Source organism: Homo sapiens, chromosome 20 (assembly GCF_000001405.40).
Source record: "Homo sapiens chromosome 20, GRCh38.p14 Primary Assembly".
Taxonomy (NCBI): Eukaryota; Metazoa; Chordata; class Mammalia; order Primates; family Hominidae; genus Homo; species Homo sapiens.
The window spans coordinates 35,730,643-35,754,674 of NC_000020.11; the positions used below are offsets into that span (position 1 = coordinate 35,730,643).

Consider the following 24,032-nt stretch of genomic DNA (forward strand, 5'->3'; position numbering starts at 1 on the left):
CCATGATCCCAGCAAACAAAGTATCCATCACTCAAAGGAATTAAGCTAATTCCTTTCCCCTTATTTAGTTCATCCTGGTAAAAAGATTTAACATAATCCCATTTTAAAAATGCTCAGAATCTTGATAAATGGGACAAAAGCAGAGAAGTTCCTAATGTTGTACAGCATTCGAAATTAAAATAGCATTGTGGTCCCATTTTCAGCTATTAAAAAGTTAATGAAATAAGCAGCTTGGAGGAAACCAGCATCACGGAGTTTAATTCTTTTTATTTTAAAGATAAAAGAGCCAGAATCGGAATTCATGTAATGCCAAAACATTTCATGAATCCATTAAGTCCTCTGAGCACTTTACATTTTCTTCTCATTCATTACTCATTAATAGCTTATCTGAAACTTATTATCTCCTTAAAAGGTTAGAAAACAAATGCTTAGCTTAGGGGATTAAGTATCTTGCCCAAGTGATTCGGGTCTGTTTGTCTTTGAATTCCATCCTTAACCATTCAAATCTTAGAAGTTAGAAGGGTTATTTTTAATATATCCCAGAGTTTACAGCACTGTGTTTATTAAGAGGAATTAACCTCATAAAGCATTAAAGATTGCTAGATGCAATCCTTAGAATTGTAGGTGGTTAATATAGTTATTTAATAACCATAATATATTTGTTTCCAACTTTAAATATCCACATCCAAATTTCTAGTGATCTAATCTTCAAAACACTTTTAGTTTGGAATACCTTTTATTATTATTAACAAACCTTAAATACAGATGAGCCCAAAAAAGGATCTTTATCAATGAGCATACACAACAAATTCACAACTGGCCTGACATTTCAGCTGAAAACAGCCACGGTGACAGACTTTTTATTTACTGTTAACTAATTATACATGTGTAACTTAGTATTCATCAGAACTTTACAATTTTAAGTAAATATGTATTTAGCAAATACTGTAACAGCCCAGACACTTGTTAAGCTTTCTTAGGTATTTGGGCACTACAATGTCATCTTTTTCAAGCACTCTAGTGCTTTCATCCAGTTTGCGTTGACTGGCATACAATTTAGAAACTCTGATAGTTTAACAGAAAATAGTCAGTATGCCTAGTAAAAGCAAATTTTTACTTATTTGTCTATGCACTGTATTTTCACTTTACTAGTATTCAATGCCAATATCCTTAATTCAATACTTTTTAACCAATCATTAAAAAAATAAAAATTCACAATTCAAATCACTCAAGTTAAACTGCCATCTGAATACCCAGAGAATAACCCTCAAACCAAAATCATAACTATAGTTACATACTAAGGACTTCTGTAGCGGCCTCTAAATCTTCGATCTCGACTTCTTGAGCGGCTCCGTCGCCTCTCTTTGCTTCTACTTCGCTTTCTTTCACGGCTTTTGCTCTTTTTCCTTTCTCTGTCTCTACTTCGCTTCCGTTCCTTACTTTTGCTTCTCTTTCGTTCATGACTACGACTTCTGCTCTTGCTTTTTTTCCTCCTGAGAAGAAAAAAACTCGCCATTATCATGCTGGCTTAAGAACCCACCAAAATATACTACCTTTTATGGCCAGAATCATTTTTTCATCCTTTCATAAATTTCTTTGGCTAGTTTTACTATGATACAATGGTACATAATCATACTTAAAAAAAAAAAAAAATCCTGTAATCTCAGCACTTTGGTAGGCCGAGGCAGGCAGATCACAAGGTCAGGAGTTCAAGACCAGTCTGGCCAATGTAGTGAAACCCCGTCCCTAATAAAAATACAAAAATTAGCCGGGCATAGTACCGTGCGCCTGTAGTCCCAGCTACTCGGGAGGCTAAGGCAGGAGAATTGCTCAAACCCGGGAAGCGGAGGTTGCAGTGAGCCAAGATCCCGCCACTGGTACTCCAGCCTGGGCGACAGAGTAAGACTCTGTCTAAAAAAATTGCTACGTATAGTAAACAATATCCCTTTTGCCTTATATTAACATTACTGAAAATCAGCAGACAAGACATTATTTGAAAGACACCATCCTCTAAGAGTAGAACTGCAATTATCTCCTGAGAGTTAGCTATAGCTTTAACAAGCAAAAGGGCTTGTTGGCAAATACAAATCAAAATGTGAACCTTTAAATAGTTTGTCATACAACAGGCCAACAAAAGCATTACTGTAATCCACAAAATAAATTAATAAAACAAACTTACAATAGAATATTTTCACATTCAAGTACTAGTACTGGTTCATTTATAAAAATTTTCATCAAATATAGTAATTTACCATTAAGTCAATTTTGCCCCCATTTACATATGGAAATATTTAACACGTTCAAAGGGTCACATAGACATCAACATTTTGGTTTTCATGGGCAAAACCGTAATGACAAAGGACAATAAGAACTAATGCAGGCCAGTGCAGTGGCTCACGCCTGTAATCCCAACCCTTTGGGAGGCCGAGGCAGGCAGATCACTTGAGGTCAGGAGTTTGAGACCAGCCCGGCCAACACGGTGAAATCCCCTCTCTACCAAAAATACAAAAATTAGCCAGGCCTGATGGTGCATGCCGGTAATCACAGCTACTTGGGAGGCTGAAGCAAGAGAATTGCTTGAACCCGGGAGGTGGAGGTTGCAGCAAGCTGAGACCATGCCATTGCACTCCAGCCTGGGCAAAAAGAGCAAAACACCATCTCAAAAAAAAAAAAAAAAACCCAACTCCAAGTGCGGTGGCTCACACCTGTAATCTCAGCACTTTGGGAGGCTGAGGAAGGCAGGTCACCTGAGGTCAGGAGTTCAAGACCAGCCTAGTCGACACGGTGAAAACCCATCTCTACTAAAAAATGCAAGAAGTAGTGGGTCGTGGTGGCACAGGCCTGTAGTTCCAGCTACTGTGGAGGCTGAGGCAGGAGAATCGCTTGAACCTGGGAGGCAGAGGTTGGAGTGAGCCGAAATCATGCCACTGTACTCCAGCCTGAGCAACAGAGCAAGACTGTCTCCAAAAAAAAAGAAAAAGAAAAAGAACTAACGCATTAAAATACAATTTGACATTCCTAGACTTTAATGTGACCATTTCAAATACTTCCTAAAGTTACAATGAATACACCAGAAAATGGAGTATGCCATTTTTAAGCCAGTTTATAGAAACCTGTGGGATGCAATCAAAACCAATGATCAACTTGACCTTCACAGACCTTTTTAAAATCTCTAACTAAAAACCAAAAAAGCCAAACATATCTTTCTGCTCACTTCCGTAGTCTTCACAGTATACCACCCATTCATAATTAAATCTTATAATCTATACCTCTGTGTCATCACCCAAATTTTAGAGGTGCCTTCAGATATTTCAATATAAATTGAAAGACATTTCAAAATCAGTTTATTCCACGAAAATGTCTATTTGTAGTGGCTTAATGATTAAACATTTTGACAATTCTGTATCATTATCTGGATATGTAATTGTTTATTCCTTATCAAAGCAAAGTTACATATCACAAGAGCAACTGAGGTCTGCCTCAGAGAACCTGTAAGCAGGTCATCTTTAGAGTGCATTGAAAATAGAAAATGAAGACACCCACCTTCTGGAATCTTGAAACCCACACTCCAATCACAAGGAGATGTAGAGCTTTCCAAGGAGGCAGAAAGTTTGTCTAAAATTTCAAGATAATCCACCTGACTGTCAGAAATGTATATGCTAGGTAGCACATGACAGAAAATTAGGCTACACTCATTATTTATATAGAACTCATCAAAGCCATGCCCAGATGGGCAATAGGTAACACTCCAATTTTGTTGCCTAAGAAACCTAACACTATCTCTGTGACACTATTCCAACTATAGAACTCTGAGATTTCTAAAACCAAAAGTCCTAAATATATTCAATTAGGGAACAAGGTAAAAAGTAACTCCATCCCCCTCAAAAACAAAGTTTTTGTTCTGCTCTAGATGGGCTATAGCAAGAGAGGCAACCAACCTATTTACCTCTCATAGGACCCAAAACTTATTCTGCCAAAAGAAAACACTTGAAAATTGGAGAGCTAATTTTAACTTAAGGTCTTCTAGGACTTTTTGTAAACAAGTCCTCACCCACATCTGAAGGCAACCCCAGGCAGGTAAAAAGACAGCAACATACTAAGACATTCAGAAAATACAATCTTTTGCATAAAAGCCCAGAGAAAACTACAAGGGTGCAAGAAACCAGTATATTTCCAGCTTCAAAGAGCATTTATTACATTAACTAAAGAAGGGTTATCGAAATCCACACTAATAGTCAAATCCTGTTACAACTTAAAAGGGACTTTCCAAAGTCTTTAATGGCAGTGAAATTTTGTACTGAACATCACTGAAGTAAATGGTCCACTGGGCTGGGCCTTTGGACTTTTTGGTTATATGGCCTCTGCAGTAAAGGTGTTTTGCTATAACTGGATTTGACCTCTTCCATGTAAGAAGATCTAAATTTTTAATGCAAAGTATTCTGGAAAATAAGAAAAAAAATAGAAAAGTCATTTATTCCAAAATTTATAGATAATCCACACCACAGTAGCCAATATATTTCAACTGTGTCATTTTAATGTTATCTTTTATTGAGTAATTCTCTAAAGAGCTTAACGGAATGGACGCTGATTTAGACTTTGCAAAACTGGTTACTTTAACAAATAATATTCCCATGAGGGCAAGCTCAAGCACTTAGGATGCATACCTTGACATATGCAAAAACTCAGGTTTACAGCTCTTCAGAAAATAGGTTGACAACCAGTCTGTGTCACAATAACTTTGTTCCTTTTACTATTCTAGGATACTATGAAGTGTATGTTAAGAATCAGAATTATACAATTAAAAAAATTTATACTCAGTCAACTGTTTCTCAGAACATGCCATTTTTCTACTACCTAACAAACTATAGCTCAATGTGGCTTTTAAGACAATGAAGTTTTAGAATGAAAAATGCAACACGGCACTTTCCTTTGGTTAAGAAATTTAATTTAGTACTAAAGGTTTAAAGCAGAGTGTTCTGTATGTTTTATATCTATTCCTAAATACAAAAATTTTCTTCCAGGTAACTTTAAAATTAATTTGAAACATAAAGTTCCTTCAGAAAATCAAGAGTCCTGATTGAACAAGGGAATCATTTATTTATCACCTATAATTGACGAGAAGTCTGACTGGAAAGTATTTTAAGATTACCAAAGTGTTTTGAAAGGATCTTCCCTTAGACAATCTCATGGTTAAAGAAAATTGTCCATTCTCCTATTTAGTCCTGTGGTTCTCTACATTAGACAAAGGCCACCGAATATCACACATGGAGAACTTGATGCTCAGCTTCCTTGTAAAAGCTTGTAGCCTTAATCAGCTTATACACAGGATAAAAACAAGTAGACACCGGAGATGACCTTAGTGGCAAAAAGCGACATGAGACAATGGTACAGTAACGAAGGTCTGTACCCAAAAGTGTACGTTCTTATCCTTCTGGCACTTGAAGCGAAATCTTTAGCCACTCGGCCTGACACCTAAATTGGATAATTTATGTCAATTTATATGGATACACCTTCCTGGGTTTTCTTTTGATTAGAGAATTGCAAAACAAAAACATTAGGAAACCATTACTGTGGCAGAAAGTCTAAAACCAGATGACATAAACCATACCTCTGGTTGGTTGCATCAGATCCCACATCAAGACTAAACCCAACCTGATCCCCACAATTTCTTGTGATTGGTGAGGAACTATAAATGACTCCCATCCAAGCTTATACCAGAAAAAAGGAGCACATTTTCTACAAATTATATCATTTTTAATCCATTACCACATTATTTTAGGGGAACTACAAAAAAAAAAAATAGTGGCTTAACAAGCCCTGAATAACATTATATATTTTCTCATCTGTTTTATGAAATTTTATCAACCTACCTAACACAGTTGTAGTGAGAAAGACTGACATACTTACTATGAAGCATTTAGGGATCTTAGGAGGAAAAGAGCCAAAAAGAAATCAAATAAATGGCTATTTTTCTCTCGTTTTTCATTAACATAAGGTCGTAAGTATGACAGATTTTTATGTTTGTTTGAGACGGAGTCTCGCTCTGTCTCCAGGCTGGAGTACAATGGCATAATCTCAGCTCATTACAACCTCTGCCTCCCAGGTTCAAGCGATTCTCCTGCCTCAGCCTCCCGAGAGTAGCTGGGACTACAGGCGTGCACCACCACGCCCAGCTAATTTTTGTATTTTTAGTAGAGACGGGGTTTCACCATGTTGGCCAGGATGGTCTCGATCTCCTGACCTTGTGATCCACCCGCCTGAGCCTCCCAAAGTGCTGGGATTACAGGTGTGAGCCACCACGCCAAGCCCAGACTTTTTTTTTAAGACGGAGTCTCAGTTGGGTCCATGTCTCACGCCTGTAATCCCAGCACTTTGGGAAGCCAAGGCGGGCGGATCATGAGGTCAAGAGATGGAGACCATCCTGGCCAACATCGTGAAACCCTGTCTCTACTAAAAACACAAAAATTGGCTGGGCATGATGGCTCACGCCTGTAATCCCAGCACTTTGGGAGGCCAAGGCAGGTGGATCACGAGGTCAGGAGTTGAAGACCAGCCTGGCCAGGATGGTGAATCCCCATCTCTACCAAAAGTACAAAAATTAGCCAGGTGCGGTGGCAGGCACCTGTAATCCCAGCTGCTCGGGAGGCTGAGGCGGAAGAATCGCTTAAGCCCGGGTGGCAGAGGTTGCAGTGAGCCAAGACTGCGCCACTGCACTCCAGCCTGGGCAACAGACTGAAACTCCATCTCAAAAAAAAAAAAAAAAAAAAATTAGCCAGGCGTGGTGGCAGGAACCTGTAATCCCAGCTACTCGGGAGGCTGAGGCAGGAGAACTGCCTGAACCCAGGAGGCAGAGGTTGCTGTGAGCTGAGATCGTGTCATGGCGCTCCAGCCTGGGTGACAAAAACGAAACTCTGTCTCAAAGAAAAAATAAAGACAGAGGCTGGGCACGGTGGCTCACACCTGTAATCCCAGCACTTTTGGAGGCCAAGGCAGGCGGATCACAAGGTCAATTCTGGCTAACACAATGAAACCCTGTCTCTACTAAAATTACAAAAAATTAGCCAGGCATGGTGGCAGGCGCCTGTAGTCCCTGCTACCTGGGAGGCTGAGGCAGGAGAATAGCATGAACCCAGGAGGCGGAGCTTGCAGTGAGCAGAGATCACACCACTGCACTCCAGCCTGGGCAACAGAGCAAGACTCCGTGTCAAAAAAAAAAAAAAAAAAAAAAAGGCCAGGCGCGGTGGCTCACACCTGTAATCCCAACACTTTGGGAGGCCACAGCAGGAGGATCATGAGAGGTCAGGAGATGGAGACCATTCTGGCTAACACGGTGAAACTCCCTCTCTACTAAAAATAAAAAAAAAATTAGCCAGGCGTGATGGCGCGCGCCTGTAGTCCCAGCTAATCGGAGGCTGAGGCAGGGGAATCACTTGAATCTGGGAGGCAGTGGTTGCAGTGAGCCGTGATAGAACCACTGCACCCCAGCCTGGGCGACACTGCCAGACTCCATGTCAAAGAAAAAAAAAAAAATCAAAGAATCACTTGAACCCAGGAGGCGGAGGTTGCAGTGAGCCCAGACTGCGCCACTGCGCTCCAGCCTGGGCTACAGAGCAAGACTCCGACTCACAAGAAAAGAAAAAAAAAAAGTGGATCTCATCATATCTGTTACCTAAGACTTTTCGTACACTGTTTTCTGTACTAGTCTATAGCAGAGTTCTATTGAGTCACTCATCTTACCCAAATAAAGTGTACAGATATATTCATAATTTCCAAAATCCCCACCCTGTTAAGTCTAGAGTTTAAAAGGCCTAAGATAATGAAAGCCACCTTTAGAAGTACTTAAGTACCTGTTCCATCACTTCCAAAAGGGCCTCTGAGCAGCAAGTTGCAGAAATAATTCACAGCTTTGACTCCTTCGGCACTTTAGGGCAAACAATACTTTCCATGGCCTAGTTATCACCTAATTTAACTCTTTCTACCTTTTAAGATCAATGGATATATAACAGTTTTATCAGTAAGATAACCAAATATCAAACCAAAGTTAACAAATTTAAAACAAGACAACCTCTAATACAGAACTTGTCACCAGATTGTCATGATGGACTTGGAGGGGAAGGTATCTGAAACTATATTCTGAAATCTAAGCAAAAAAATCCACAGTTCCTCCAAGAGTTTGTCTCAAAAGGCAAAGAACCAATTTTCTAAAAGCAGCAAAGAAAAGCTTCAGAAGAGAATTTTGTATACTTTAGCCACAGGAACACAACTTAAGGTCTAAAACCACAAAAAAGCTCACCACCCTCCCCCAAGCCCCTTCTTAAAACTCACTTTTTGCTACGTTCTTCATGGCCGTTGGCACTGCTCAACTTGTTCTCATCCTAAGCAGGGTTGATAGAAGAACATCATGAGGACGAAGTGGTAACATTTCAAGTTGTCAAAGGGTAAAGGGAACAGGAATAAGAAAATACAAAACAATTTTAAAACTAATTATTTACTTATAGTTTAACATGGAAGGCTATAAAAAAATTTAGATGGGTATGTGTTTAACCACTTTGTTGCTTACATTTAAGTCATCAAGATACAAAAATAAAAAAATTTTCCATATTAACATGTTAAATTTTACTTTCTTATATAGTTTAGATATTAAAAGTTATCCAGATTTACAATGTTGAAGTGGTTAAATATAATTTCCATAAAACATGAAGTCCTGTTTTGAGTTTTATTCCATGTGCTATGGTCCCTTTGGTCAGTACCATGGCTCTATTTCTGCCTAAGCCCCAAGTGGCCATGCTAGCAGCCAGCCACTATCGATTTCCTGTGACCGATGCCATTCCTGAGATCTTCGCCCATTTCCGTTGGAGGGTTGGGACTGTAAGAGCTTGATGCCACCTCTGTCACACATCTCGCCCTGAAGCAAACAGGGATTCACACTGCTTTAGTAATGTTGACTCCCAAGAACCCAAGAAAGTCAATTAATAATCCACCAAGTCCAGCCTAAACATTTCCTACTTCCATACCTGTTTACATGGAATTACATCCATGTTAAAAAAAACTAAGACACAAGAATCTTAACATTAAAACAGAAAGTAGCTCTTCAAGAGTCTAAGCATTACAAAATTACATACACTATTTAAATCTATCAAGAATTCATCCAAATTGGTACCACATGGTCGTGCTATACAATCCAAAACAAATGTATTATTTTTAAAAGGTTTAGTGAAATGTTTATTTTAAAGTTTGATTACATCAGCTATAGGAGTAAAGTGCTAACTTACAAAGCTTACAGTTTGTGACACCAGTGATAATGCATGCATACTGCTATTTTCACCACCAACTGGTGAAACAATGAAAAGACAGTTTACTTTTACTGAGATACCGAAATGAGTCAAAGACTATATTAGCCAATATAATTCCTTTGTTTTTAGTGTGAAATACTATGGTAGGGCCTAATTAAAAATAAAAACAATATGGAGAACAGTAAAACAGTCATCAAGTGACTCTAAGCTTGTATTTACTCTAAGCTTGTATTAAGCTTGTATTGACTCTACTGCCTCTTGTATTTTTTTTTTTTAATTTCTATTCAGGGATCCAAGAATTTTAGTAATTATTAACTGAGCAGCAGATTGCCACTGGACTGTTTTAAGATTTACTATCACCAGTCTTACATAGATACATAAATTTTAAAATCTCACCCATTTCTTCTTATAAGACTGTTAGAAGATTTAACTTGCCACAGACTGGTCATGCTTTGTTATTCTTGGACCCCTGCTTTTTCCCAAACCACTACATTCACCTTTTTGCTATACCAAACTGGAGGTGGTAATTCTTAGTTGAGTCATTTTACCTAGGGGACCACGGTACAGCGATAAGTCACTCAATTACTACCTTATGATTGACAGTTCACACTGGAATCAAAGGTGAATTCATGGGAGTAGAGGTGAGATATCGTTAGGCAAGTCTACAAAGAGAGATAGATGGGCATTTATTCATCACGCTGAAGTGAAACTACTGCACAATATTATTACATCAATAGCATATATTTACTTTTGTAAGTTACACGTAATGCATCTCTGATAAGATAAATCAAGAGGGCTCCGGGGAGGTTAGTTTACATTTCAGCAGTAGTTTCGTGAATAATGCTAAATTAAGAAATATATAAACCTCACCGACATGTTTTTTCTCACCTTCTTGTAAGGAGCCTCAAGCATTGCTTCAATATCAATATCGTCTGCCATTTTCTCTAAACGCCTAGGAAGAGAACAAGACAATTTCTTGAGTAAACATTTCTCTTACAATGTGAAACAAGTTTCACTCTTGTTGCCTATATCGTCTAACATTTTCTCTAAACGCCTAGGAAAAGAACAAGACGATTCCGTGAGTAAACATTTTTCTTTTTTTTTTTTTTTTTTTTTGAGACGGAGTTTCGCTCTAGTTGCCCAGGCTGAAGTGCAGTAGCGCGATCTCGGCTCACTGCAAGCTCCGCCTCCCAGGTTCCAGCGATCCTACCACCTCACCTCCCGAATAGCTGGGATCACAGGCGCCTGCCACCACGCCCGGCTAATTTTTGTATTTTTGGTAGAGACGGGGTTTCACCATGTTGATGAGGTTGGTCTCGAACTCCTAACCTCAAGTGATCCGCCTGCCTCTGCCTCCCAAACTGCTGGGATTACAGGCGTGAGCCACCGCGCCCGGCCTGGTAAACGTTTTTCAAATCGACTGAATTTTTCTTCTCAGCCGACACACTCGAAAACTTAAGAAAAACCTCCAAAAGCCCTACAATTAATGACTAAAGTGACATGCACTTTAACCAGGTTTGGCTTACGTAAGTAAATCCAAAACGCCTCTTACACGAAACACACGAAAATGAAGACTTCAATATCCAATATTTAAAACTCTGCTGTCAACTCCAAAAACAGAAACTGGGAGACCCGAACGAGAGCGCCTCTTTCCGGGCAAAAACCCGCGCTGCCATTTTAGGGGCAAAGAGAAACTCCCTCCATTGGGAGGGGTTATGAGCCAAGGCAGCGTTCAACTGGCGCCATGTTGGGAGGTCGCGGCCGGCCCAGGCCTCGAAGGAGACAGGTCACCATTCTACCGCGGCCTCTCGGGGGTCCCTACCGCCCCAAGAATCCAGACTATACCCGACTGGAAAATAAGGGCGCGGTCACTGAAACAGGGCCGATTTCTCGAAAACCACCCCCCACCCCGGTCGCTAAAGACCTCCAAAAGCGCCCCTCAGCCCAAAATGGAGCCAAACCTCGAGAAAGCTGAGATAATACGCGGGTCCGCAACGCCCCGTACCTGTTCCGGCCTTCGGGCGCCTGTGGTGCTCGTGTTCGGGAAGAGATTGCTGCTGCTGCTGCTGCTGCTGCCGCCGCCGCCGCTTCTGTTGCTACTGTTAAGCCCCTAGGCCCAGGCCGCGGAACCGCCCAGCCCGAATATCGGGTTCCAAGGACGGCTAGGCCCGAGAGAATCTAAAAAAAACAATGGAATTAGAGAAGCCCACGCGGGAGAGCAGGACGGCGGCTTCGGCAGCTCAGGATCCACCCCTGCGACAGCGTCGACAAGCTCCCTGAAATGGCGGCCGCTGCTTCCCTGTACTCACATTCACCAGCACACATACACACACACAAACACACGGGGCCTCACAGAGCCCTCAGCACGGGCTCTCGCGAGAAGCTGCCCCAAGCTCCAAATTTGAGCGGCCGAAGTATCGCGAGACCTAAGTATGGCTCCGGCGACCGTAGCCCAATCTCGCGCAATGATTGCGCCACAGATATTCCCATCCCCCATTCAGTGAGGCGCCTTTCACTCCCCCTCCGCGTAAGCACCCAAATCTCGCGAGACAGAGCGGGTCTCTAGGGCAAAGACAGTTGGTAGGCTGCCTGTCAATCTTTCAGAGAGCTCTTCGCTGAGTGGAGCTCAGCGGTCACCTCCCCCTCGTGGCGCCTCCTCACGGCCATCTGAAGATTCCTCCGGCACAGCCGATCGCCCCCGCTCCGGCCTCCCACACAGATGGCTGTCAAGGTCGCCATAAGGCAACCTAGTCCTTATGGCGATAGGATAAAACGGCCATATTCAGATTATCCGCTGAGGGTGGAGAGGAAGTGGAAAAGTGTATCAGAAGGCCAGAAGAAGAGATCTTTAGGGGTAGGGGGAGAGGGGGAGATAATAAAAATAGATTTCCCTGTCATTTGGAGCCAATGGCGCGGCCTCCACTGTCGAGCTTTGAAACAACCTTGGAAATAGTGGAGAAAAGCAAAAAAAAGGTGGAAAAAATAAACTCTTGCTTCCCTTGGCATGGGATCAGTTTTGTGCCCCGAATTTAATCAGCTCTTGTGTCAGGGTTGCTACCGTTCCTTCAAAAATGTTCCCCTTCCTGAATATTACTGGACGATTTGGTGAAAAAATAAGACACCCCCCCAACAAAAAAAAAAAGGCCCCCTTCCCCCTGGGACCTGGCTCCTCTCCCCTGAAGTCTTCTAGATGCCAGGTAATTAGAGTATGAATTAGCCATTTGTTCTTTGGTCAGTACTGTGTGAGGTTTCCTCCTAGATGCTGGGAAAAAAAACTGGAAAGAAGTCTTCAAAGCAAAAATCTTACCCTCTAATCTTAACAGTCTAATGATTGAGGGCAGAAAAGATTGGAAATGAGACGCCTTGATTAGTGTAACTAGCTGCTGCAACACTGTGTGACCTTGGACAAGCAAATTAACCTCTCAGAGGGGATCTTTCATTTCCTGATTTAAAAGAGGACGTACTTAGTAGCTAGTCTAAGCTACTTGAGACTGAGGAAGGCAGGTAATGCTCAGTACTGAATTTTTAGAGGTTAGCAGGGCATGTCTGCCCAAGTGGACCCTCAGTAAATTAATGAATGAAGGCTCAGAAGGGCTATAGTGAAGATTAAATGATATAATGTCTGTAAAACGCCTGGTAAATATTTGATCTTCAAAACAGCTAACTTCTGTTTCTGCTAAACAAAATTATTTAGAGCAAATATAGATGTTAAGTGGTTTTGCCTCTCAGGTTAACTTTACACACAGGTTAGGATTTATCTTAGAGGATTATTAATAACAGTTATTTTGTAGTTAGAATACTCCCTTAATCCTTTTTCTGAAAATTCAGATCCTCTTTTTATTTTATTTCTGAGACAGTCTCGCTCTGGAGGCTGGGCGCAGTGGCTCATGCATCTAATCCCAGCACTTTGGGAGGCCGACGCGGGTGGACCGCCTGAGGTCAGGAGTTCAAGACCTGACCAACATGGCGAAACCCTGTCTCTACTAAAAATAAAAAAAAAACTAGGTGGCAGGCGCCTGCAATTCCCAGCTACTCGGGAGGCTGAGGCAGGAGAATCACTTGAACCTGGGAGGCAGAGGTTGCAGTGAGCTGAGATCATGCCATTGCACTCCAGCCTGGGTGACAGAGATCGAGACTCCATCTCAAAAAAAAAAGAAAGAAAAAGAAAGAAAAGAAAACTGTCACAGGAAATTGAAGCATAATATGTCAGAAATAAAGCAAGCTAACCTTTGCTATCTCTTCCTGCCCCTCGGTAATTCCAGTATTATGACTAGTGCAAAATGAAAGCATGAAGATGGCACTTGGTTTTTCTTGTTTGTTTAGGAACATGACATGACAGAATTTGACCTTAACCGCTAGACTTCTTGTTTGGGAAGAGGAAGGATTTAAGCTCTAAGTCGCTTGATGATTTAAGGTCCCTTAAATAGTTTTCTGCTCAAGGACCATCAGAGGCAATATGGCAACTTAGCAGATCATCAAGAAAAGCCGTTTGGAAAAATCAAGTTTCTGAAACAAGTATTTTTTATGTTTAAAAGAAAATATCCCCAGGCATGGCGGCTCATGGCCTGTTATCCCAGCACTTTGAGAGGCCAAGGCAGGAGGATTGCTTGAGTCCAGGAGTTTGAGACCAGCCTGGACAATATAGCAAGACCCTGTCTCTACAAAAAATTTAAAATTAGCCAGACGTGGTGATGCATGTCTGTAGTTCCAACTACTCAGGAGGCTGAGATGGGAGGATAGCTTGGGCCCAGGACTTCAAGACTGCAGTCAGCTAGAATCACGTGCCACTTCACCCCAGCCTGGGCTGCAGAGCAAGACCCTGTCTCTTAACACAAAAGAAAATATCACGAACATAAGATGCTTCTCATTCACTTTACAAAACTTCACTAACTCTGGTTCATGAACTTTCTATGTAAATTAATTCCCCTTTCATCATTTTGCTTTCAAAAGATGGAGGAATAGAGCTTGAAATAGAGCCAAAAAGGTAATGAATATACTTAGAGAATTTGGCTGAAAACTAAATGTATTTTACCAATGTGGATTTTTAATTTTTTAATTATTAAGGGTACATTTTAAATGTATATGTTTATCAGATACATGTGGTTTGGTTTTGTTTTGTTTTTTGTCCCCAACAATCTACAGCAAGTAGAATTGTTTCGTTTTTTAATTGAGACAGGGTCTCACACTGTCCCACAGGCTGAAGTGCAGTGGCAACATCATAGATTACTGTAACCTTGCATTCCTGGGCTCAAGCAATCCTCCCAGCTCAGCCTCCCAATTAGCTAGAAAAACAAGTGCACATCACCATGCCCAGCTTAATTTTTTAAAAATTTTTTGGGCTGGGTGTGATGACTTACTCCTATAATCCCAGCACTTTGGGAGGCCGAGATAGGTGGATCACCTGAGATTGAGGGTTTGCAACCAGGCTGACCAACATAAAGAAACCCCGTCTCTACTAAAAATACAAAATTAGCCAGGCGTGGTGGCGCATGCCTGTAATCCCATCTATTTGGGAGGCTGGGGCAGGAGAATCACTTGAACCTGAGAGGCGGAGGTTGCAGTGAGCCGAGATCACGCCATTGCACTCCAGCCTGGGCAACAAGAGCGAAACTCTTTCTCAAAAAAAAAATTTTTTTTTGTAGAGATTTGGGCTTCAAATGTGATGTTTTGATAAAGGCATATTATGTGTAATAATCAAATCAGAGTAATTGGGGTAATCCATCACCTCAAGCATTTAACATTTCTTTTCTTTTTTTTTTTTTTTGAGACAGAGTTTCACTCTTGTTGCCCAGGCTGGAGTGCAATGGCGCGTTCTTGGCTCACGCTCTCTCTCTCTCTCTATATATATATATGTGTGTGTGTGTGTGTGTGCATGTGTGTATATATATGTATATATATATATTTTTTTTTTTTTCGAGATGGAGTCTCGCTCTGTCGCCCAAGTTGGAGTGCAATGGCACAATCTCAGCTCACTGCAACCTCCGCCTCCCAGGTTCAAGCAATTCTCCTGCGTCAGCCTCCCAAGTAGCTGGGATTACAGGAGCATGCCACCACACCCGGCTAATTTTTTGTATTTTTGGTAGAGATGGGGTTTCATCATGTTACCCAGGCTGGTCTCGAACTCCTGACCTCAAGGGAATTGCCTGCCTCGGCCTCCCAAAGTGCTGGGATTATAGGCGTGAGCCACCTCGCCCGGCCTTTTTCTTTCTTGAAACAGTGTCACTTTGTCACCCATGCTAGAGTACAGCGGCAAAATCACAGCTTACTGCAGCCTTGACCTCCTGAGCTCAAGAGATCCTCCCATCTCAGCCTCCCAAGTAGCTGGGACTACAAGCACATGCCACCAGGCCCAGGTAATTTTAGTATTTTTTGTAGAGTTGGGTTTTTGCCATGTTGTCCAGGCTGGTCCCCAACTCCTGGCTCAAGGGATCCTCTCCTCTATGCCTCCTTAAGTGCTGGGATTACAGGCGTGAGCCAGCATGCCTGACCCTTTTTTTTTCCCCATATCACTAGGACAATGGGAAACTTAAGCCCATTTCATATAGATGTAATTAATTTTAACACTCATGTGACCTTTGCCTGATTTAGGCAGATGAAATTGTATCTCCCCACCCAGGTTCCTTCTGCACTTGATTATCTCATCAATCTACTGACTGATTGAATTGTTTTAAATACTTGCCTGTCTATTGGCACAATGTCAAGGGTATTCTAGTGACATATCCAAAGGTTTTAACTTAAATTTGTGAATCATGTTTTTTGAGACAGTCTTGCACCATCTCCCAGGCTGCTTGGAGTGCAGAGACTTAGTTATGGTTTACATGGTTTACTGCAGGCTCAAACTCTTGGCTTAGCTTCCCGAAGTGAATCATTAGGTTTTTTTTTTTTTTTTTTGAGATGGAGTCTCGCTCTGTTGCCCAGGCTGGAGTGCTGTAGCGCAACCTTGGCTCACTGCAACCTCCGCCTCCTGGGTTCAAGCGATTCTCCTGCCTCAGCCTCCTAAGTAGCTGGGATTACGGGCACCTGCCACCATGCCTGGCTAATTTTTTTGTAGAGATGGGGTTTCACCATGTTGGCCAGGCTGTTTTTGAATTCCTGATCTCAGGTGATCCACCCACCTTGGCCTCCGAAAGTGCTGGGATTACAGGCATGAGCCAACATGCCCGGCCTGTTGCTTGTTTTTTTTGAGACGGATACTCACTCAATCCACCCAAGCTGGAGTGGAGTGCAGTGGCTTGATCTCAGCTTACTTCAGTCTCCTTCTCCCAGGTTCAAGTGATTCTCCTGCCTTAGCCTCCCAAAGCAGCGGGACCATAGGTATGCGCCACCACTCCCGGCTAATATTTGTATTTTTAGTAGAGACGGGGTTTCACCATGTTGACCAGGCTGATCTTGAACTCCTGACCTCAGGTGATCCGCCCACTTTGGCCTCCCAAAGTGCTGGTATTACAGGCGTGAGCCACCACACCCAGCTTGGTTTTTTGTTTTTTTGAAATAGTCTCACTCTGTTGCCCACGCTGCAGTGCAGTGGCAAGATCTCAGCTCACAGCAACCTCCACCTCCTGGATTCAAGCAATTCTCATGTCTCAGCCTCCTGAGTAGCTGGGATTTCGACCAAGTGGGCCCAGGTAATTTTTGTATTGTTAGTGCATATGGGGTTTTGCCATGTCGACCCAGCTGGTCTCAAACTCCTGGCCTCAAGTGATCAGCCCTCCTTGGCCTCCTAAAGTGCTGGGATTACAGGTGTGAGTCGCCGTGCCTGGCAGAATGATTAGTTTTTAAGAAGAAATCTAGGCCGGGCGTGGTGGCTCAAACCTGTAATCCCAGCACTTTGGGAGGCCAAGGTGGGCAGATCACCTGAGGTCAGGAGTTTGAGACCAGCCTGACCAACATGATGAAATCCCGTCTCTACTAAAAATACAAAAAATTAGCAGGGTGTGGTGGCGGGCGCCTGTCATCCCAGCTTCTCGGGAGGCTGAGGCAGGAGAATCACTTGAACCCGGGAGTTGGAGGTTGCAGTGAGCCGAGATTGCGCCATTGCACTCCAGCTCGGGCGACAGTGGGAGACTGTCTCAAAAAAAAAAGAAGAAATCTTTCAAGGGTACATCCCTGGCCACTTACTTGAGGTTGATACCACATTAACTTTGCTTGGGATCACTGTCAAAAATCCTGTCCTCAAACTCAAGATAATTTCGTTAGATCCGATGTGAACTAGATAGGGAAATAACTGATGCTTTCTGTCAGAGTTTCATCTTTGGTCAAAAAAGTAAAATGTTTTGAACTCATCATAGTTACGGCAATGAAAAAAATTAAGGGGCACTCATAATAGCCCATGTGTCCATTCCATGGCCAAAAGGATTGCCCAAAATGCTACTTTAGATTAAAAATAAAAGCAAAAAGATTCAATACACGGTAACATAAAATGTAATTTACGGCCGGGCGCGGTGGCTCACGCCTGTAATCCCAGCACTTTGGGAGGCCGAGATGGGCGGATAACAAGGTCAGGAGATCGAGACCATCCTGGCTAACACAGTGAAACCTTGTCTCTACCAAAAATTCAAAAAAATTAGCCAGGCATGGTGGCGAGTGCCTGTAGTCCCAGCTACTTGGGAGGCTGAGACAGGAGAATGGCGTGAACCCGGGACGTGGAGCTTGCAATGAGCCGAGGTCATGCCACTGCACTCCAGCCTGGGTGACAGAGCAAGACCCTGTCTCAAAAAAAAAAAAAATGTAATTTACAACACTCATTTAGAGCTTATCAGTGAAATATACTGTTTACTGATTCATTCAGTGTTTATTTAGTACATTAGGTAGGTGAAATACTCATTAAGACAATTTGTGGCCAGGTGCCGTGGCTGATGCCTGCATTCCCAGGACTTTGGAAGGCTGAGGCAGGTGGATCATGAGGTCAGGCGTTGGAGACTAGCCTGGCCAACATAGTGAAAACCTATCTCTACTAAAAATACAAAAAATTACCTGGGCGTGCTGGCGGGCACCTGTAATCCCAGCTATTTAGGAGGCTGAATCCCTTGAACCTGGGAGGCAGAGGTTGCAGTGAGCCGAGATCGCATCACTGCACTCCAGTCCAGGCGATGGTGCGAGACTCCAATTCAAAAAAACAAAAGAAAAAAAAAAGAAAATTTGCGAGCCCACAGCTAATCAAAAGGATAATCCTTTTTCCTTCAAGGGTTTCCAGTTTATTGAGAACACCTGAAGGAATGTAAAACCATATTCAAGATACTGTTTTGCATTGTACTAATAAGATTTTGCATAAACTCAATGCTTTAAACATCAAAAGTCAGGGTCTCGGCCAGGCACGGTGGCTCACACCTATAATGCCACCACTTTGGGAGGCCAAGGCAGAGGATCACTTGAACCCAGGAGTTTGAGACCACCCTGGTCATCATAGCAAGACCCTGTCTGAGAAAAAAGATGGAGTCTGGCAGTGTCGCCCAGCAGGCATTGTTTGGTGGCATGATCATAGTTCATTGCAGCCTCAAACACCTGGGCTCAAGAGATCATCCCACCTCAACCTACCAAGTAGCTAGGACTACAGGCACACGCCACTACACCTGGCTATTTTTTTTCTTTCATAGAGACAGGATCTCTCTGTGTTGCCCAGCCTGGTCTTGAATTCCTGGTCTGAAGCAATCATCCCACCTCAGCCTCCCAAAATGCCGGGATTATAGGTGTGAGCCACCTAACCTGGCTAATAGTATTAATAATAGCATATTTACATAACACTTCACACATTATAAACCTTTTTCTATATAAAAATCCCATTTATTCCTCTATATCAGTTTATTTCCTTTTTTTTTTTTTTTTTTTTTTTGAGCCAGAGTTTTGCTCTTTTGCCCAGGCTGGAGGGCAGTGGTGCGATCTTCACTCACTGCAACCTCCTGGGTTCAAGGGATTCTCCTGCCTCAGCCTCCCAAATAGCTGGGATTACAGGTGCATGCCACCATGCCTGGCTAATTTTTGTATTTTTAGTAGAGACGGGGTTTCACCATGTTGGCCAGGCTGGTCTCGAACTCCTGGCCTCAGGTGATCCGCCTGCCTCGGCCTCTCAAAGTGCTGGGATTACAGGCGTGAGCCACCGCTCCCAGCCTTGTTTATTTCCTTGAATGAAATACATTGAAATGATCAGACTATAATGGAAGTGATCACAGAATCTGCTTCTGAAAGTAGCTGATTTATGTATTTTATCAGAGCAGTTAGGGAGATTTTTTTCCAACATTTTATTATGAATATTCTCAAACAGAGGTTGAGAGAATAGTACAGATGCCCACCATCTATTTTACGTTTAACATTTTTCAATGTTTGCTATATCACATATTCATCTATCCCTTTGTCCATCCATTCATCCAACCTAATTTCTGTGTGCTTTTCAAAGCAAATTGCAGACATCAGTATACTTTATTTCTAAACACTTCAGCATTGCATAATCTTAACTAGAGTTTTTTTTTTAATCTTAACTAGAGTTTAATAGTGTTCACAATATTTTTAAATGACATAATATTTACATATGGCAAAACACACAAATCTTAAATGTACCAATAGATTAGTTCTGACAAATGCTTACAAATCGGGTAATGTTCTGTTAACTTTATTAAGTAAAGAAATAGCAGACACAGGCACAGAGGGTCAGAGAAAGCAGTATATTTTGTCCCAAAATATCCTGATTTGACAACCGGAGAAATGGATAAACCATTGCAAATTAGGAGGCAGAGTATTGTTTAAAAACATCTGCTAACAGAAGCAAAAATAATGCAGTCGGGCACAGCATTGCAAAAGATTTAGGAATTAAGCAAATCTAGCAATAGAGAGGAAGATTCTGCTGACAAGGCATCACATGATGGAGATATACCTTGAAAATGAAGGATGGCAAACAAAAGAAGCATCAACTCAATAGTGGTTTTGAATGAAAGGCATGTGATTTCATGATATGAATGAATGACCTTGTACAATGAATAGCCCAGAAAGACACAGCATCTCTGAAAGGATGTAGCTAATAAACTCATTCTTTTGGGGTCTGAAAAAAATAGGTTCTTAACAGTCATTTTCTGTAAGAGGTCTACAGACATACATCTTGCCCAAACATCTCTAAATAACCAGCTCCCTAGCCTACCTAGGTGGCAGGAACCTGTAATCTCAGCTACTCAGGAGGCTGAGGTGGGAGGACTTCTTGAGCCCCGGAATTCATGTACAGCCTGGGAAACACAGTGAGACTCCATCTCTAAAATAAGTGAAATAAATAACCAGATGCCATCTCAATATATAAATGAAACATCAGAGTTGGAATATGTGCATCATAGACATGAATTGTATGCTATTGTTGTAAAGGAGCAAGGGATGCCGGGCGCAGTGGCTCAAGCCTGTAATCCCAACACTTTGAGAGGCTGAGGTGGGGGGATCACGAGGTCAGGAGTTCAAGACCAGCCTGACCAACATGGTGAAACCCCATCTCTACTAAAAATACAAAAATTAGCCAGGCGAGGTTGTGTGCACCTGTAATCCCAGCTACTCGGGAGGCTGAGGCAGGAGAACTGCTTGAACCCAGGAGGAGGAGGTTGCAGTGGGTGGAGATTGCGCCACTGCACTCTAGTCTGGGCAACAGAGTGAGACTCCATCTCAAAACAAACAAACAAACACAAAAAACCAACATGGGATTTTGGTAAGAATGTGGAGAAATTGGAACCCTTATAGTTTATTGGTATCAATGTTTACATATTAATGATATAGCTGCTATAGAGAACAGTTTGGCAGTTACTCAAAAAGTTAAACATGGAGTTACTCTATGACCCAGCAAATACATTCCTAGGCATAACAAAATAATTTAGAACAGACATTTGGCTGGGCACAGTGGTTCATACCTGTAATCCCAGCACTTTGGGAGGCTAAGGCGGGCAGATCACTTGAAAGGAGTTCGAGACCAGCCTGATCAACAAGGTGAAACCCTGTCTCTACCAAAAATACAAAAATTAGCCAGGCATGGTAGCGTCTATAATCCCAGCTACTTCGGAGGCTGAGGTGGGAGGATCACTTGAACCTAGGAGGTGGAGGTTGCAGTGAGCCAAGATCACACCACTGCACTCCAGCCTGGGAGACAGAGCAAGACTCCATCTCAAAACAAAAAAACAGACAGTCAAATAATTACTCATACACAAGTGTTCATAGCCGCACTGCTCACCATAGCCAAAAAATGAAAACAACCCAAATGCCTACCAACTGATGAATGGATAAACAAAATGTAGTATATTCAGACAATGGAATATTATTCCGCCATAAAAACGAAATACTGATACATGCTATAATGTAGATGAACCTTGAAAACACTATGCTAAGTGAAAGAAGCCAGACACAAAAGGTCACGTATTGCTTGAAACCATTTATATGAAACATCCAGAGTAGATAAATCCATAGAGTCAGAAATCAGATTGGTAGGCCGGGTGCAGTGGCTCACTCCTGTAATCCCAGCACTCTGGGGGGCTGAGGTGGGCAGATCAGGAGGTCAGGAGATCAAGACCATCCTGGTTAACACGGTGAAACCCCATCTCTACTAAAAATACAAAAAATTAGTCGGGCGTGGTGGCAGGTGCCTATAATCCTAGCTACTCAGGAGGCTGAGGTAGGAGAATCTCTTGAACCCGGGAGGCAGAGGTTGCAGTGAGCCGACATAGCACCACTGCACTCCAGCCTGGGTGACAGAGAGAGACTCCGTCTCAAAAAAAAAAAAAAGAAACCAGATTGGTCTTTGCCAGGAGCTGGAGGGAAGGAGGAATGTGGGGTGACTACTTAATGGCTATAAGGTTTCCTGTTGGGGTAATAAGAATTTACCAGAACTAGATCCACCTAGTTAAGAGTTCCAGGTAGTGGTAGCGATAGATGCTCTGGATCGAGTTGTAAAGCCCAAAATGAAAAGAGTCAAGAGATTCCTTGAGAAGAGAGAACCAAAACTCAATGAAAATATTAAAAATGCAATGCTGATTAAAGGGGGAAATGCAAACGCAACAGTGACACAAGTACTTAAAGATGTGTGTGCACTGAAAAAACCATACGGTGTACTGTATAAAAAGAAAAATGTTACAAGACCTTTTGAGGATCAGACATCACTGGAATTACTTTCAAAGAAGTCAGATTGTTCTTTATTCATGTTTGGCTCCTATAATAAGAAGCGGCCAAATAATCTAGTAATAGGTCATATGTATGACTACCATGTGCTGGATATGATTGAATTAGGTATTGAGAATTTTGTCTCTCTAAAAGACATTAAGAACAGTAAATGTCCTGAGGGAACAAAACCCATGCTAATATTTGCTGGTGATGATTTCAATGTAACAGAAGATTACAGAAGACTAAAAAGTCTTCTTACTGATTTCTTCAGAGGCCCCACAGTATCAAATATCTGCCTGGCTGGATTAGAATATGTTCTGCACTTCACTGCACTGAATGGGAAGATTTACTTTCGAAGATATAAGTTGCTGTTGAAGAAATCTGGTTGCAGAACACCACGGATTGAATTGGAAGAGATAGGACCCTCATTGAATCTGGTTCTGAGGAGGACACACCTGGCATCCGATGACCTTTATACATTATCTATGAAAATGCCAAAAGCTCTCAAGCCAAAGAAGAAGAAAAATATCTCCAATGATACTTTTGGTACAACTTATGGAAGGATTCATATGTAGAACGAAGATAAGCAAACTACAAACCAGGAAAATGAAGGGGTTGAAGAAGTGACCTGCAGAAAGGATAACAGAAGACCAGGAGAAAAAGTCAAAAAGAATTTAAAAGAAATTATGGAAAAAAAAAAAAAGAATTTACCAGAACTAGACATTGGAGAAGGTTGCACAACATTGTGGATGTAAATGCCAAGAATTGAACACTTTAATATGATTAATGGTTAATTTTATTTTATGTGAATCTTATCTCAATAAAAAGAGAATAGACTGGGTGCAGTGGTTCATGCCTGTAATCCCAATACTTTGGGAGGCCAAGGGGGAGGATGGCTTGAAATTAGGAGTTCTCAAGGCCAGCCTGAGCAACAGAGAGGAACCCTATCTTTTTTTACTTGTTGTTGTTGTTGTGGTTTTGAGACAAGGGTCTTGCTCTGTCACCCAGGCTAGATTGCAGTGGCCTGGTATGATTGATCTCACTGCAACTCTGCCTCCTGGGTATAAGCAATCCTCCCAGGTGTGGCTGGGATGACAGGTGTATGCCACCATGCCCAGCTAATCTTCATGTCTTTTTTGGTAGAGATAGGGTTTTTCTGTGTTGCCAAGGCTGGTTTCAAACTCTTGGGCTCAAACAATCTGCCTACCTTGGCTGCCTAAAGTGCTAGGATTACAGGGGTAAGCTACCTCTCCTGGCCTTGACCCTATCTTAAAACAAAAACAAAAACAAAAACAAAAAAACCTAGCAGGGCATGGTGACATGCACCTGTAGTCCCAGCTACATGGGAGGACGAAGTGGGAGGATTGCTGGAACCCAAAAGTTTGAGGTGGCAGTCAGCTATGATGGCACTGCTGCATTTCACCCTGGGCAGCAGATTAAGACCCTGTCTCCTAAGGAAAAAAAAAAAAGAAAGATATTTTAAAAAAAGGAAAGAAACAAGGGACCTTCTCAGAACCTCTAGAATCAAGAGCGAGATGCTGGATGATCAATGAAATGAAAACCCTCAGCCAGGCGCAATAGCTCACGCCTGTCATCCAAACACTTTGGGAGGCAGAGGTGGGCAGATCA

General features: G+C 42.2%; 1 protein-coding gene and 1 pseudogene across 18 annotated transcripts in view, besides 5 other annotated features; one reads left to right on the forward strand and one right to left on the reverse strand.

The window, feature by feature from the left end:
* The window catches only part of RBM39 (RNA binding motif protein 39), a 40,914-nt gene extending 29,296 nt beyond the window's left edge, over positions 1 to 11,618 (reverse strand). For 9 of the 18 annotated variants that reach the window (XM_017028138.3, NM_001242600.2, NM_001242599.2 and 6 more), the window contains exons 1-4: positions 11,299 to 11,618; positions 10,182 to 10,245; positions 8,326 to 8,375; positions 1,299 to 1,493 (exon numbers count right to left, since the gene is read on the reverse strand). In XM_017028138.3, coding sequence (XP_016883627.1) covers positions 1,299 to 1,493; positions 8,326 to 8,375; positions 10,182 to 10,232 — 296 coding nt within the window. In that variant the 5' untranslated portion in view covers positions 10,233 to 10,245; positions 11,299 to 11,618. Of the gene's footprint in view, positions 1 to 1,298; positions 1,494 to 3,543; positions 3,616 to 4,170; positions 4,440 to 8,325; positions 9,956 to 10,181; positions 10,251 to 11,298 lie in introns of those variants that run through there. The other 9 variants (NR_040724.2, NR_040722.2, NM_001323423.2 and 6 more) reach the window with 8 other exon arrangements.
* Positions 10,998 to 11,097: a silencer, noted in NCBI's record as "silent region_12863". NCBI's record gives its function as "represses an Ori minimal core promoter by ATAC-STARR-seq in GM12878 lymphoblastoid cells {active_cell/tissue: GM12878}" and the evidence as "EXISTENCE:reporter gene assay evidence [ECO:0000049][PMID:35858748]".
* Positions 11,358 to 11,507: an enhancer, noted in NCBI's record as "active region_17795". NCBI's record gives its function as "activates an Ori minimal core promoter by ATAC-STARR-seq in GM12878 lymphoblastoid cells {active_cell/tissue: GM12878}" and the evidence as "EXISTENCE:reporter gene assay evidence [ECO:0000049][PMID:35858748]".
* Positions 11,521 to 12,206: an enhancer, noted in NCBI's record as "NANOG-H3K27ac-H3K4me1 hESC enhancer chr20:34330085-34330770 (GRCh37/hg19 assembly coordinates)". NCBI's record gives its function as "activates a minimal SCP1, AML or CMV promoter by ChIP-STARR-seq in primed H9 embryonic stem cells {active_cell/tissue: H9 hESC(primed)}" and the evidence as "EXISTENCE:reporter gene assay evidence [ECO:0000049][PMID:30033119]".
* Positions 11,568 to 11,787: an enhancer, noted in NCBI's record as "active region_17796". NCBI's record gives its function as "activates an Ori minimal core promoter by ATAC-STARR-seq in GM12878 lymphoblastoid cells {active_cell/tissue: GM12878}" and the evidence as "EXISTENCE:reporter gene assay evidence [ECO:0000049][PMID:35858748]".
* Positions 11,958 to 12,057: an enhancer, noted in NCBI's record as "active region_17797". NCBI's record gives its function as "activates an Ori minimal core promoter by ATAC-STARR-seq in GM12878 lymphoblastoid cells {active_cell/tissue: GM12878}" and the evidence as "EXISTENCE:reporter gene assay evidence [ECO:0000049][PMID:35858748]".
* Positions 22,139 to 23,095, forward strand: RPF2P1 (ribosome production factor 2 homolog pseudogene 1; annotated as a pseudogene).